The sequence below is a fragment of the Homo sapiens genome, chromosome 19, assembly GCF_000001405.40.
Source record: "Homo sapiens chromosome 19, GRCh38.p14 Primary Assembly".
In the NCBI taxonomy this organism is placed as follows: Eukaryota; Metazoa; Chordata; class Mammalia; order Primates; family Hominidae; genus Homo; species Homo sapiens.
Window position 1 is genome coordinate 935,279 of NC_000019.10, and position 15,225 is coordinate 950,503.

Genomic DNA, 15,225 nt, shown 5'->3' on the forward strand with positions numbered 1-15,225 from the left:
GCTCAGGGCCACGGGTTCTTTCCTTGGACACCTGGAACCTTGCTGCCTGGGGCCTGGGGACGTGCAGTTTTGGAGGCCAGCACGTGTCGGGCAGTGATTAGGATCTCAGCCTCCTGATGTCTGACGTAGCCTCCTGGTGGCCTCCTGTCACCCACACAGCAGGCCCAGCTTCTAGAAAGCGGCCACGGTAGGATTTTATTGGATTATTATTATTTTTGAGGCAGGGTCTTACTCTGTCGGGTAGGCTGGAGTGTAGTGGTGCTGTCCTAACTCACTGCAGCCTCGATCTCCTGGGTTCAAGCGATCCTTCTGCCTCAGCCTCCTGAGTAGCTGCGAGTACAGACGGGCGCCACCAAACTCAGCTAATTTTTGTAGAGACGGGGTCTTGCTATGTTGCCCAGGCTGGTCTAGAACTCCTGGGCTCAGGTGATCTGCCCTCCTTGGCCTCCCAAAGTGCTGGGATTACAGGCGTGAGCCACCGCACCCCACCATGGTAGGATTTTATTTATATATTTGTTTATTTATTTTTTGAGACGGAGTCTCGCTCTGTCGCCCAGGCTGGAGTACAGTGGCGCGATCGCGGCTCACTGCAAGCTCTACCTCCCGGGTTCACGCCATTCTCCTGCCTCAGCCTCCCGAGTAGCTGGGACTACAGGCATCCGCCACCGCGCCCGGCTAATTTTTTGTATTTTTAGTAGAGACAAGGTTTCACCGTGTTAGCCAGGATGGTCTCGATCTCCTGACCTTGTGATCCGCCTGCCTCGGCCTCCCAAAGCGCTGGGATTAAAGGCGTGAGCCACCGCGCCCGGCCCGTGATGGGATTTTACACGCACAGGCGGTTAATCACAGATCTTCAGCTGCTTAAGGATTTGAACCTTTAGTCTCAACAATTCTAATAAGTGTTGAATGAATTTGAGATGAATCTTAAAAAACAGCTTTATTGGGCTATACTTCATATGCCATACAATTCACTGTTTTAATTGTACGATTGGGGCCAGGCACAGTGGCTCACACCTGTGATCCCGGCACTGTGGGAGGCCGAGATGGGCAGATAGCCTGAGCCCAGGAGTTCTACACCAGCCTGGGCGGTATAGCAAGACCCCATCTCTACAAAAATTAGCTGAGTGTGGTGGCGCACACCTGTAGTCCCAGCTACTTGGGACCCTGAGGTGGGAGGATCCCTTGAGCCCAGGAGGACAAGGCTGCAGTGAGCCGTGATCGCGCCACCACACTCCAGCTTGGTGACAGAGCGAGACCCTGTCTCGAAAAAATAAGAAGGATAGGGTGGGTGCAGTGGCTCACGTCTGCAATCCCAGCACTTTGGGAGGCCGGGGCAGGCGGATCACGAGGTCAGGAGATCGAGACCATCCTGGCTAACACGGTGAAACCCTGTCTCTACTAAAAATATAAAAAATTAGCCGGGCGTGGCAGCACGCGCCTGTAGTCCCAGCTACTTGGGAGGCTGAGGCAGGGGAATCACTTGAACTCAGAAGCAGAGGTTACAGTGAGCCGAGATCATGCCACTGCACTCCAGCCTGTGTGGCAGAGAGAGATTCTGTCTCTAAATAAATAAAATAAAATAAACCCTGACCCTTTAACTATTATCCCCCTATTCTACCAGCACGCCCCAGCCCCTGGCAACCACACATCCCCTCCTGCCTCTGTGGATTGGCCTGTTCTGGACATTTTATAGAAATGGGATCACATAGCTGGGTGCAGTGCTTCACGCCTGTAATCCCTGTACTTTGGGAGGCTGAGGTGGGCAGAGCACCTGAGGTCAGGAGTTTGAGACCAGCCTGGCCAACACAGCAAAACCCTGTCTTTACTAAAAATACAAAAATTAGCTGGGTGTGGTGGCGGGCACCTATAATCCCAGCACTCGGGAGGTTGAGACAGAACCGCTTGAACCCGGGAGGCGGAGATTGCCGTGAGCCGAGATCGCGCCACTGCACTCCAGCCTGGGCAACAGAGGGAGACTCCATCTCAGAAAAACAAGAACAAAGAAAAGAAATGGGATCACACACTGCGTGGCCTTTTGTGTCTGGCGTATCTCACTGAGCGTGACGTCCTCCAGGTGCATCAGCACCGTGGCCTGGGTCGGAGTCTCCTTCCTTTTCACGGCTGAGTCATACTCCGCTGGATGGATGTGCCGTATTGTGTTTGCCCGTTCCGCTGTTGGTGACCACTCGACCTGTTTCTGCCTTTTGGGTTTGTAGTGCTGTACACGTTTTTATGTGGGCGTACGTTTGTATTACTTTTGGGTGTGTATCTGGGAGAATTGCTGGGTCTGCTGGTGACTCCATATTCACCCATCAGAGGAACTGCTAGACTGTTTAGCAAGCAGCTGCCCACGTTACCTTCCCACCAGCCACAGATGTGGGTTCCAGTTCCTCTACATCCTCACCACTTGTTATTGTCGACTTTTTTTTTTTTTTTTTTTTTTTTTGAGACAGAGTCTTGCTCTGTCACCCAGGCTGGAGTGCAATGGGGCGATCTCGGCTCACTGCAACCTCCACCTCCCGGGTTCACGCCATTCTCCTGCCTCAGCCTCCCGAGTAGCTGGGACTACAGGCACCTGCCACCACGCCCAGCTAATTTTTTTGTATTTTTTAGTAGAGATGGGGTTTCACCGTGTTAGCCAGGATGGTCTCGATCTCTTGACCTCGTGATCCGCCCGCCTCGGCCTCCCAAAGTGCTGAGATTACAGGTGTGAGCCACTGCGCCCGGCTAATTTTTTGTATTTTTAGTAGAGACGGGGTTTCACCGTGTTGGGCAGGGTGGTCTTGAACTCCCAACCTCAGGTGATCCTCACACCTCAGCGTCCCAGAGTGCTGGGATCACAGACGTGAGCCACCGCGCCCGGCCTGTTGTCGACTTTTGATCCTAGCCTCCTTGTGGGGGTGGCGTGGTTTCTCACTGTGGTTCTGATTTTCATTCAGTGTCAGGATCTCTCCCTCTGCTTTCCAAAGTAAAGCTTGCTGCCCATGTAACTTGCAGATGAGCTCAGAGGTGTAGGAATGACGGCACTAGCCGGTATCTGTTGCTTCACTGCGTGAAGAAAGTGACTGAGTGTTTTAGATGGGTCGTCTCCCAGATCCTCACTGGATCCCAAGGAGCTGCCGTTGAACCTGTTGTGCAGACGAGAAACTGAGGCATGGGGTGATCACATGACTTGTGCACAGTCGCCCGGGGGACGTGTCAGAGCTGGAATTTGACCCCCGGGATGCACCTGCCAGAGAGGACCCAGCGGTGTGTGGATGGATGGCCCAGGGAGCTGCTGGTGGGACGGTTTTGGGGAAGCTCAGCTGCCCCTCCGTTTTTCTTTTTGTCTGGAATGAAAGTGGTTAGACCAGGCCAGACCTCAGTGCTGTCCTCATATCCAGGCCTCCGGGCCTGACAGCTGGGCGTGTGTGGGCACTGGGGCAGGGACGGCCACCAGCAGCCTCTCAGGCTCAAGGCCAGACACACCTCGCTGGGCCCAGCCCCAGAGACCGCTGGGTCCTCACCACGGTGCCTGCCAGGCAGCTCTCGGGAGTGAAGCGAGACCCCAGCAAGAAACGGGCATCCGGTTTTTGGTCTTTTTTTGGTCTTTTCAGCTCATTTGTTTTTTTTAATTGTGGAAAATACACATAGATACATTATTTTATCTCTCTTTTTTTTTTTTTTTTTTGAGACGGAGTCTTGTTTTGTCACCCAGGCTGCAGTGCAATGGTGCAATCTCAGCTCACTGCAACCTCTGCTTACTGGGTTCAAGTCATTCTCCTGCCTCAGCCTCCCAAATAGCTGTGACTACAGGCGCGTGCCACCACACCTGGCCTATTTATTTATTTATTTATTTATTTATTTATTATTATTATTTTAGACGGAGTCTTGCTCTGTCACCAGCCTGGAATGCAGTGGCGCCATCTCGGCTCACTGCAACCTCCGCCTCTCGGGTTCAAGCAATTCTCCTGCCTCAGCCTCCAGAGTAGCTGGGACTACAGGCGCCCACCACCACACCCAGCTTATTTTTGTATTTTTAGTAGAGACGGGGTTTCACCATGTTGCCCAGGGTGGTCTCGTATTCCTGACCTCGTGATCTGCCCGCCTCGGCCTCCCAGAGTGCTGGGATGACAGGCCTGAGCCACCGCGCCCGGCCTCTCGATACACTTTTGGTTCCAGAAGTAACACTTGACACTCTTCTTGCAGAGAGGAAGAAAATGGAACGTTTACAGGGAGCCCCGAGTCCCTCCCTTGACCTCTAGGGCATGAGCCGCATGTTCTCCAGGCCTTTCTCTGCCCACTCACACCCAGGAATGTGACCTGGGAGGTATCTAACGTGTGATCTTCCGGGCAGGTCGGGAGGTTCCTCCCGCCGCTGCCTTCGAGGAGCTGTTTATCTTGGGTGCGTTCGCGTCGTAATTGGGATGTTCCGAGCCACCTGGTTCTTTTCAGCTGTATGGACGTTCCCCTCGTGGCGCTGGACACCCCCACGTCCACACACTTCCCTCGGTCATTTCCCTGTTGTAAGCAATACTGTAACGAACATCTTCGGGGCGTGAGAGTTGCTTGGAGCAGTGTGGGGAGGAGGTGGGGAGCTGGAATTGCCAGGGCTCTGGGAGAATCGGCAACACGTTTTCTTCGTCGTGCCCCGGAGACCCCCAGACTGGTGGGAGACAGAGCTGGATGTGAAGGTAGCACTGGGGTCTGCCGTGGCCTCGCCACGTCCATTTCAGACTGAGGCTTAGGGGCGCTGCTGGGCTTCCCCACATCCCTCGAGGGGTCAGGGCTGGGCTAGAGGGGATTGAGGGGGAGGCTGCCAAGAGGAAGGGGCATTGGGGCTGGGGCTTTGCAGGATGTGTAAGAGTTTGTTAGCGAGCCACAGCAGGGCAGGGCCTGCCTCTGGGATCACTGTGACTGGAGCGTAATGTGTGGGGCCAGGGTGGCCAACTTTTTGGCTTCCCTGGGCTACATTGGAAGAAGAAGAATTGTCTTGGACCACATGTAAAATACAGTAACACTAATGATACCTGATGAGCCAAAAAAAATTGCAAAAAAACTCTCATCGTGCGCTAAGAAATGTACGCGTTTGCACTGGGCCGCATTTACAGCCGTCCTGGGCCGCGGGTCAGTCAAGCTCTCGGTGTAGCAGGAGGGGTGGGCAGAGCTTGAGGGCACTTGGCAGGGTTTGGAGCTGGGAGAAGGAGGCTGGGAGGACCCTTCTGGAGCCTGTTTTGGAGACAGAACGGAGGCACCCTTGGTCCAGGCAGGAGTAGAAGAGGCCAACACTGCAGCTGGGCTTCTGGGGCCTGAGAAGAAGGAGAAGGAGGAGAATTTTCCCAGCACAGGCGGGTGCTCTAGGCAGATGGTGCAGCTGGGGCCTTTGCCCAGAGGTCAGGCAGCAGGTTCCGAGCACACAGAGGCAGCGGCTGTGTTTGAGACAGAGTGTGTTTGTCAAGAGAGCCCCGAGCCAGGCCCTCGGCCGCCAGCCCTGGTGCCGGCGTCTTCCTGGGCCTCCGGGAGCCCCGGCTGCACGTGAGCCGCCGGGAGGGCTGTCGGGAAGCCCCCTGGGCACCTGGTCCTCCCCACCGGGGCAGCGCCCGCCTCATCAAAGCCACTGTGGCTGCTGGCGCCGGGCCAGCTGGGCCCTGGCGGGCGAGGGGTGGGTGGGTGCCCGCCAGCCCCTGGCACTGTGCCCCGGCCCGTGCCCGTGCCAGGAGCGTCGCTGACTCAGCCGGAAGAGCCTTATCTGGCCCCTGCGCCACCGCCTGGCCGTCGGGTCACCGCCGCGGGGTCACCGCCGCCGCGGCCTGGCCCCACGCCCACCGCCGGCGTCCCACCCTGGTGGCTGCTGCCAAGCGCCGGCCCCGCCCCATGCTTTCTAATAACACACGCGGCAGCCCGAGGGAGCGGTGCCCGCAGGCAGAGAGTGTCCCCGCGTGGTGCCTGGGCGGGGGAATGGGCGTGGTGAGCCGCCGTGGCGTGCGTGCGAGTGTGCACGCTGGGGCTGTGGCCGGGCGGCTCGTGGGTCCTGTCTCGTGGGACCCTGCCTGGGAGGGAATCTTGCTCCAGACACAGCATCTTCGGACCCTCCAAGGCCTCTGCCCACCGGGCACCTGCTGGATTCTGTGGGTCTCGTGTGTGGGGCTGTGTGCACCCAGCCAGCGGCACCTCACGCGCCCGCCTGCGTGTCCCCAGCCAGCACCACGGTGTTCGTTTAGGTCTCTGTGTGCCGAGTGACGTGGCAAACTTCCCACGTCCCTGTTTTGCGTGGACCTGTTGGTGAGTGTGTCCAGACGTGTGTCTGCCCTGACGTCCTTTGTGAATGTCTATGTTGGGGTGATGATCTCCTGTGTGTGCATTTTTTTAACTATAAAGATGGGGTCTTGCCATCATGTTGCCCAGCCTGGTCTCAAACTCCTGGGCTCAAGTGATCCTCCCGCCTCGGTCTCTGAAAGTGCTGGGATTACAGGCGTGAGCTGCTGTGCCGGACTGGTCTCTTGTGTTTTGTGTGGATGTGGCTGTGTGTGTGTGTGTGTGTGTGTGTGTGTCAGGGGTGGCTGCAAGCGTATGTGTGTGTGCACGTCGAGGCTGGAGAGTGTGTGTCCAAAAGCGTGCCTGCTTGGGCTCGCCACGTGTGCGCACGTGTGCCCGTGACAGACGACCTTCCTGTGTGCCTGAGCATTTGGGAGCCTCGTGCTGGACCCTGAAGCATGAGGTCGCGGTGGGGCCTATTAACCATTAGACCCCCGGGGCTGCTAGAGAGTGGCGCTGTCTGTCTTGGTCAGCAGCGCGCGTCGGCCGCGGGGCACAGATCAGCGCCTCCCCTGCCCGCCATGGGCTCTGGAGCCAGCCTAGCCGATGATGGAGCCCCAGTGGCCACCGAGCTATGGACAGGGCCGCTGGGGGTGCACCCCCACCCTCTCCGACCCCGAGGAGCTGCCGGCAGAGCCCTGTCCACTCTTGCCTCAGTTTCCCTGCTGGACACAAAGGGCTGAAGTCCAGGTCCCTTCGATGGCCCAAATTACCTGACTGTCGATCCTGACTGGGGCGGTGGCGACATGGCCCCCGCAGCTGCCCGGCGGTGGCACCCAGGGGCGTCACCCACGAGGGACGCTTGACTCAAGGTCCTCTCCACTGGCCGCCGGGAGCCGGGCCGGGAGCCGCTGCGGTGCCGACCTGGTGGGTGGCACACGGGGGGCGGGTGCGGACCGCCTCTTCTCCGCTCTGCCGGCTGCACATGGCCAGAGGACAATTGGGGGTCACAGGGTTAAACGCTGACTAATCTGGCCATTGAAGGCCCAAGCGCCGGGATATGCAGCCTTGCCCCTTGGTCAGGGCTGGGCTGGGGGTCCGTGGGCACAGGTGGGTGGGCAGGGAGTAGGTGGAGGCCGCCCCTCCCACTGCCCCGCAGGCCCTGGTTCTGGCCAGGCTCAGGAAGTGAGCTCCCTGGGGACCCAGGCCCCATGTCCAGAAGCCACGCTGGACATAGTGCCCAGATTCCATGCCCAGCAGCCTCCTCTGCCACCCTCAGAGACGGAGAACGTGAGAGCAAGTAAGAACCCGCCTTCCGGGAGGAGCCCCGTCTGGATTGGATGGCATCGCCCAAAACTCACGTCCACCCAGAACCTCAAGATGGGACTGCATTTGGAAATAGGGTCTCTGAAGATGTTAGTTTCAGTGAGGTCCTGCAGCGTACGGTGGCCCCAAATCCCATGCCGGTCGGTTGTCCTCTAAGGGGGAGGTCACACCTGTGATCCCCGCGCTTTGGAAGGCCAAGACGGGAGTTTCGCTTGAGCCCAGGAGCTTGAGACCAGCCTCAGCAACAGAGTGAGACCCCTGTCTCTACACAAATTAGCTGGGTGTGGTGGTGCGTGCCTGTGGTCCCAGCTACTCTGGAGGCTAAGGCAGGAGGATTGCTTGAGCCCAGGAAGTCGAGGCTGTAGTGAGCTATAGTGGCACGACTGCACTCCAGACTGGGCGACAGGGCAGGACCCTGTGTCAAAAAAAGAAAAAAAAAAAAAAAAGGACGGGCGCGCAGTGTCTCATGCCTGTAATCCCAGCACTTTGGGAGGCCGAGGAGGGCGGATCACCTGTGGTCAGAAGTTTGAGACCAGCCTGACCAACATGGTGAAACCCCGTCTCTACTAAAAATACAAAATTAGCCGGGCGTGGTGGCGGGTGCCTGTAATCCCAGCTACTTGGGAAGCTGAGGCAGGAGAATTGTTTGAACCCAGGAGGCGGAGGCTGCAGTGAGCTGAGATCGCACCACTACACTCCAGCCTGGGTGACAGAGCGAGACTCTGTCTCAAAAAAAAAAAGAAAAGAAAAAAGAGAAATTTGGACACGGACACGTAGGGAGATAGCTGTGTGGAGACAGAGGCAGAGGCTGGAGCGATGTGGCCACAAGCCAAGGACACCTGGAGCCCCCAGAAGCTGGGAGAGGAGGGAAGGACCCTCCCCTGGAGCCCCAGTGACACGCTGATGTCAGACTTGTGGAGAGAAGAAACCTCTGCTGACGTGGCACCGTGCCCTGGGCAAGGTTAGGGCAGAAACACCAGGCTGTGCCTCCCTGGGCACACATGTGTCTGAGCCCGACCCTTTCATGGGCACTTACGGAGCACCTGCTGTATGCCAGCCCGACCCTCTCATGGGCACTTACGGGGCACCTGCTGTATGCCAGCCCGACCCTCTCATGGGCACTTACGGGGCACCTGCTGTATGCCAGCCCGACCCTCTCATGGGCACTTATGGGGCACCTGTTGTATGCCAGCCTGACCCTCTCATGGGCACTTACGGGGCATCTGTATGCCAGCCCGACCCTCTCATGGGCACCTACAGGGTACCTGCTGTATGCCAGCCTGACCCTCTCATGGGCACTTACGGGGCACCTGCTGTATGCCAGCCTGCCTGCGTACTGGGGACACAGCCGTGCATGAAGCAGAAGCTCCTGCCGCCGGCACTGGAGTCCTGACGTCGGCAGCGCGGTGGAGGGCGGGCCTGTCTCGCCGTTATCTCCCAGGCGTGTCTGCTCCCCGTGTGTCTGGCTGCAGGGGCGCGTCCAGGGGGTGTGTGTGTGTGTGTGTGTGTGTCTGCGTGGGAGTGTCTGGCTGTGTGGCTGCACGGAGGCCTGTCTGGGTAGGAGTGTCGGTGGGGGCGGTCCCACACGGCCATGGTTTGTGTCTGCCACGGCCTCAGCCCCGTTGCTTCGGTCGATGCCCCCAAACCTTGACCCATCTCAGGGGCACCACGCTCACTGCTACAAATGTGGGTCTTCCGGGCAAGTGAGCGTCCCCCACCCAGGACCCCCGACCCCGGCCCTGGGAGGGCCCGACTGCCAGCCTGGCTGAACCTCCTTCATTGTCTGGTTTTCGGGGGTGGATTTTGAGACAGGGTCTCGTGCTGTCACCCAGGCTGGAGTGCCGCGGTGCAGTCATAGCTCACTGCAGCCTCGACCTCCCGGGCTCCGGTGATCTTCCCGTGTCAGCCTCCTGAGTAGCTGGGACCACAGACACTCGCCACCACACCCGGCTAACTTCATTTTATTTTTTGGAGACAGGGTCTTGCTGCGTTGCCCAGGCTGAACTCCTGAGCTCTTAGGGGAGCCGGGATGTCCCTGGGTCCTGCGGTCGCTCTCTGTCTCCATCTCTTCTTTCTCCTCTCCCCTCTCCCTGTCTCTGCCACCCGCCCCGTCCCTTCCACCACGTCGCCCTGTAATTCTTCCCTGACGGCCATTTTTCCGGGAGTGGCTGGGCGTCTCTGCCCTAGCTGGCGCCCTGCCCAGCCACTGCCCCCACCCCTCAGTTGGCCACATGCCCATCTCGTGGGGGCCCTTGGACCTGGTTCTTGGGGAAGAACTAGACAGATCACCTCTGTGGTTATTCATTGCTTTAATGCCACCTGGGGGGAGAGAGCCTGGGCACACCAACATGCAGAGATCCCAGCTCTGCCCGACCTGGGCCTGGTGCCTGTGACCTCCTCCTCTCGGCCTCAGTTTCCCCGCCCGTAAGACGGGGATGGTATCAGAAGGAGTGCAGCTCTTGTGACTTTGTTTTCATCCTTGGCCTTTACGGTTCACCAGGTTTCTCCTGTAACTCCTGTAGAGAGGGGACGGCGTGTGGCATGGCCCCTGCTGCCTGACCCAGCCCACCTCCGTCTGCTCCCTAGCGGGGAGGTGTCCAGGGCGGCCCCAGCCCACCTCCGTCTGCTCCCTGCAGCGGGTGGGATGGTGGGGTGTCCCTGGAGCGGGCAGAGCCTTGAGTGACTCCTCCGAGGCTGCTGCCCATGGTAGGGGCAGTTCCTGTCCTGCCCTCAGCCTGGGGTCTGGCAGAAGCTCCGGCCAGGTGTACCCCAAGGGACCCCGGACCCTGAGCCCACCAGGGAGGGCCCTTCCTCTTGACTCTAGGGTGGGAGGTGGAAGCAGCCCCTTCCTTCCTGCAGCCGTCTTTGGGCCCGGACTCCAGGCAGGCCCGTGTCCCATTGTGGGGACGGCGTCGACATGGCCGGGGCAGGCGTGTTCTGGCCCCTTGCACTGCCCGGCTCCTGCTGCTGGTGCTGGGCTGCGTTTCTGTTCAGAGAACCTGGGCTGGGAGTGATGGGACCGCAGTCTCCCACCAGGTGCCTCTTTCCAAATGGACACTCCTGCTGGGCATGACACTTCTGAGGCTTTCTGGGACCGTCCAGGTCCCGTCTGCAGGGAACCCCAGGACGGAGTTAATTGCTGAGTGCCCAGCTCTGGGCAAAGTGCTTGGACCCTGCGGTTACTCCGAGCCCATTTCTCAGCAGGGAAAAATGAGGCTCGCGGAGGCAGGGGCCCGGCGTCCAGGTGGGAGCATGAGGGCGTATTGTGGGTGGGCTGGCCGGTCTGGGGGGCGGGGACCCTGTACAGAACGCCCCGGCCGCGTGGAGTGGCAGGTTCGTCACTGCCTGGGGGAGGAGAACACTGGGTATTTCATTTTTATTTTTTTGTTTTTTTTACTTTTACTTTTTCCTTTTTATTTATTTATTTATGTATTTATTTATGAGACAGAGTCTTGCTTTGTCACCCAGGCTGGAGTGCAGTGGTGCGATCTTGGCTCACTGCAAGCTCCGCCTCCCGGGTTCAAGCGATTCTCCTGCCTTAGCCTCCCGAGTAGCTGGGATTACAAGCGTGCACCACCACGCCCGGCTAATTTTTTGAATCTTTTTTTTTTTTTTTTTTTTTGAGACGGAGTCTCACTGTCTCCCAGGCTAGAGTGCGGTGTCGCGGTCTTGGCTCACTGCAAGCTCCGCCTCCCGGGTTCACGCCATTTTCCTGCCTCAGCCTCCCGAGTAGCTGGGACTACAGGCGCCCGCCACCATGCCCGGCTAATTTTTGTATTTTTAGTAGAGATGGGGTTTCACCATGTTGGCCAGGCTGGTCTCAAGCTCCTGACCTCAAGTGATCCGCCTGCCTCGGCCTCCCAAAGTGCTGGGATTACAGGCGTGAGCCACCGTCCCCGGCTAATGTTTTCTTTCTTTAATCCCAAAGGCTTCAAAACTAAAATTCTGTTTGTTTGTTTGTGTGTGTGTGTGTGTGACAGGGTCTCCCTCTGTTGCCCAGGCTGGAGTGCAGTGATGTCATCTCGGCTCACTGCAGCCTCGAGCTCCTGGGCTCACGTGATCCTCCTGCCTCAGCCCCCTGAGTAGCTGGGATTACAGGTGCGCCACTATGCCTGGCTAATTTTTTTTTTTTTTTTTGTAAAAACAGGGTTTTGTCATATTGCCCAGGCGGGTCTCAAACTCCTGGGCTCGAGCAGTCTGCCCACCTCGGCCTCCCACAGTGCTGGGATCAAAGGTGGGAGCCACTGTGCCCAGCCCACACTGAGATTCTGCATTGAAATGTTTGCTGGGTGCCCCCCATTGCTGGGCACCGTGGGGTGGGGTGTGTCTGTGTGTGGCCTGGGGCACCCCCTGCCGTCAGCCCAGATCTGTGTCTGTGTCTGCATCTGTGAAACGGGTTTCCTGGCAGATAGAGGGGCTGCTTAAGGCCAGTGCCCTCGGCGGAGACTCTATTAGGGACTGCGGGCCCCAGATTTCCACGTCATATCTCGCCGCCATGGGGCTGCCTCCTGCCTCCTCTGCACCAACTTTCTGGAAGTGCCTGTCAGCTGATCCCACCCCGGCCACATCTCAGCACCAGGCCTGTCGCTGCCGTCCTGGACTCGTGGGCCTCAGTTTCCCCAACTGTGAAACGGGCTGGCGGCCGGTCAGCGTCTCCTCCCTGAGCAAGGGACTCCCCCATCCATGTCTCAGCCCCCACCCAGATGCCCCGGGACCGTTTCACAGATGAGAAGACCGAGGTGCCAGGGTGGCGATCGCACGAAGGGCCCGTCACGGGAGAATGAGGAGGGTCTGGCGTCAGCAAGCTCCCCCGGAATCTCGTGATCTGGAAATCCACAGAGAAGCACCTTCACCACGCCAGCTTCCCGGGCCGCGCTTCATTGTCATTTCTGGAGAGTGTTATTAATATCCGCCCCGTGGGTGCGGCGCTGTGTATTTCCAGAGAGGGGACTCGGGGCCCATCAGGGCCGGGGGAGTGGAGCCGGCAGATGTTCGGCCCTGCCCAGAATCACTTCCCCAATTTCCCCACGCCCGGCGGGGCTCTCAGCATCTGCATCCGCCGAGGCCTGGCTGTGCTGACGGGAATTGAAAGGACCTCGTGGCTTAGGCAGGCGGGGGAGCCCCCCGGCTGGTCAGGTGCACGAGGAGCAACCCATGGCCAGGCAGAGCCCAGAGAGGGCGGGGAAGGGCCTGAGGTCACACAGCAGACGCTAGCTAAGTAAGCGCCTGCTGGGTGTGGGTGACCCTGCCCTCCCCCGACCCATCAGTCCAGGTCGGTCGGGGCCGCCTGTCCCCTGGTGTTTCCCTTCACAGCCCACCCGCCCCAGCTGACCTCTTCCTCCTGCTCCCTGAACCGGGAAGTCCGGGCCCTTTTTGGACACTGCATCTCCCCAGCATACAAGATAGTCCAGGACACACAGGAGGTGCTCAATAATGGCTGCAGAGTGCCCTGTCCTGGCAGAAACGCTGTGGACTGACAGCCCCGTGTGGCTGGCCCTGTGGTCCACGCTCAGCTCTGCTGCCTCTGTCAGTCCTGGGAGTTTCCGGGACGGGAAAAACAGCGAGATTCAAAATCCCCCGGCCTCCCGGGGCCGCGGTCCTGCGGGGCCACAGCGCCAGCTTCCGCTTCTTGATGGCTTCGGCCCCACCCCCACCATGGGTAAACTGAGGCCCGGAGAATGGGCAGACTGGGGCGCGAGACTCCAGGTCCTCCAGGTCCTCCTGCCCCCCGTGCCCTCCTCCCGCCTGCAGCCCCAGGCTCTGCTCCGTCTTCATTCCTTCTTCATTCCTGCCTCATCTGTCCAGCTGTTCATTCCTGGCCTCTGGACTCTGTGGGGAGGGGACGAGGGATGAGGCCTGGAGTCTTTTTTTTTTTTTTTTTTTTTTTTTGAGACAAAGTTTCACTCTGTCGCCCAGGCTGGAGTGCAGTGGCACGATCTCAGCTCACTGCAACCTCCGCCTCCCGGATTCAAGTGATTCTCCTGCCTCAGCCTCCCGAGTAGCTGGGACTACAGGCGTGCGCCACCACGCCCGGCTAATTTTTGTATTTTAGTAGAGACAGGGTTTTGCCATGTTGGCCGGGCTGGTCTCAAACTCCTGACCTCAGGTGATCCGCCCGCCTCGGCCTCCCAAAGTACTGGGATTATGGGATTACAGGCATGAGCCACCGCGCGTGGCCATCCTGGAGTCTACAGCAGTGATGTGGCTGCGGGGGTGCACTCTGGCCGCCTCCTTCCCGCCTCTCCGGACTGTGGACAAGTGAAGGGCTTTGCAGGTTGCTGGTACTCTGCAAACCTGGTTACCAGAGAGGTGTGGACCCCTCCCTGCCTCAGTTCCCCAAATGCAGAGCAGGGCCCCAGGGGTGTGGGGAGGCAGTGCTGGGTCCCGCCCTGCCCACCCCTCCCAGCGGCGGCGTGGGTGCCTGTGTGGAGGGGGAGGTGCCAAGGCCCCCAGGGACCCTGCCCACCTGGGGAGCAGCAGCCGCAGGTGCTGAGTCATCTCAGCCTCTGCCCCGGGCCTCCGCCGTGCCAGATAGCAGGATCATCAGGCCTCCGGGAGGGGGTGGGGGGCTGGGGGTGCTGTCAGTGGATGGGAGCTGCCAGGAGTGGGGCTTCAGAGAGGGGCCGGAAAGGGGACACCAGCATTGGAGGAAGGAAAGCTTCTTACGGCCTCTTTCTTTTCCTTCTTCCTCCAACTCCTGGCCTCAAGCCATCCTCCTGCCTCGGCCTCCCAAAGTGCTGGGATTATAGGCAGGAGCCGCCGCCCCTGGCCTTTCCCCTCCCTCCAGTGGATGCCTGCTGGATTCCCGCCACTGTGCCCCACAGACCCTGATTCTGTCTTTTTTTTTTTTTTTTTTGAGATGGAGTCTCGCTCTGTCGCCCAGGCTGGAGTGCAGTGGTGCGATCTGAGCTCACGCAATCTCTGCCTCTCAGGTTCAAGTGATTCTCCCACCTCAGCCTCCTGAGTAGCTGGAATTACAGGGGTTCACCACCACGCCCGGCTAATTTTTGTATTTTTAGTAGAGACGGGGTTTCTCCATGTTGGCCAGGCTGGGACTCCTGACCTCAGGTGATCTGCCCACCTCGGCCTCCCAAAGTGCTGGGATGACAGGTGTGAGTCACCGCATCTGGGCTAGATTTTGCCTTGATGGGTGGGAGGTAGGCAGGAAAGATGCAAAGAGGCCGTCCCCAGAGTGAACGGATGGATGAGGCCGTCCCCAGAGTGAACGGATGGATGAGGCCGTCCCCAGAGTGAACGGATGGATGAGGCCGTCCCCAGAGTGAACGGATGGATGAGGCCGTCCCCAGAGTGAACGGATGGATGAGGCCGTCCCCAGAGTGAACGGATGGATGAGGCCGTCCCCAGAGGGAACGGATGGATGAGGCCGTCCCCAGAGGGAACGGATGGATGAGGCCGTCCCCAGAGGGAACGGATGGATGAGGCCGTCCCCAGAGGGAACGGATGGATGAGGCCGTCCCCAGAGGGAACGGATGGATGAGGCCGTCCCCAGAGGGAACGGATGGATGAGGCCGTCCCCAGAGGGAATGGATGGATGAGGCCGTCCCCAGAGTGAATGGATGAGCACCCAGCCTGAGCCCGGGAAGGTGCTGAGGGTTAGCACAGGCCGCCTGCTGCTGCAGGAGTGAGAGGGGCCCACTCAGGGAA

General features: G+C 59.2%; 1 protein-coding gene across 5 annotated transcripts in view, besides 7 other annotated features; it reads left to right on the forward strand.

Moving 5' to 3' along the window:
• Window positions 1–15,225, forward strand: part of ARID3A (AT-rich interaction domain 3A) — a 50,208-nt gene that overhangs the window by 9,547 nt on the left and 25,436 nt on the right. The gene's annotated exons all lie outside the window — the stretch shown is intronic.
• Window positions 5,439–5,558: a silencer, noted in NCBI's record as "silent region_9640". NCBI's record gives its function as "represses an Ori minimal core promoter by ATAC-STARR-seq in GM12878 lymphoblastoid cells {active_cell/tissue: GM12878}" and the evidence as "EXISTENCE:reporter gene assay evidence [ECO:0000049][PMID:35858748]".
• Window positions 5,619–5,898: a silencer, noted in NCBI's record as "silent region_9641". NCBI's record gives its function as "represses an Ori minimal core promoter by ATAC-STARR-seq in GM12878 lymphoblastoid cells {active_cell/tissue: GM12878}" and the evidence as "EXISTENCE:reporter gene assay evidence [ECO:0000049][PMID:35858748]".
• Window positions 12,021–12,520: an enhancer, noted in NCBI's record as "H3K4me1 hESC enhancer chr19:947299-947798 (GRCh37/hg19 assembly coordinates)". NCBI's record gives its function as "activates a minimal SCP1, AML or CMV promoter by ChIP-STARR-seq in primed H9 embryonic stem cells {active_cell/tissue: H9 hESC(primed)}" and the evidence as "EXISTENCE:reporter gene assay evidence [ECO:0000049][PMID:30033119]".
• Window positions 12,021–12,604: a biological region, named in NCBI's record as "H3K4me1 hESC enhancer GRCh37_chr19:947299-947798".
• Window positions 12,065–12,124: an enhancer, noted in NCBI's record as "active region_13574". NCBI's record gives its function as "activates an Ori minimal core promoter by ATAC-STARR-seq in GM12878 lymphoblastoid cells {active_cell/tissue: GM12878}" and the evidence as "EXISTENCE:reporter gene assay evidence [ECO:0000049][PMID:35858748]".
• Window positions 12,205–12,604: an enhancer, noted in NCBI's record as "active region_13575". NCBI's record gives its function as "activates an Ori minimal core promoter by ATAC-STARR-seq in GM12878 lymphoblastoid cells {active_cell/tissue: GM12878}" and the evidence as "EXISTENCE:reporter gene assay evidence [ECO:0000049][PMID:35858748]".
• Window positions 13,789–14,168: a silencer, noted in NCBI's record as "silent region_9642". NCBI's record gives its function as "represses an Ori minimal core promoter by ATAC-STARR-seq in GM12878 lymphoblastoid cells {active_cell/tissue: GM12878}" and the evidence as "EXISTENCE:reporter gene assay evidence [ECO:0000049][PMID:35858748]".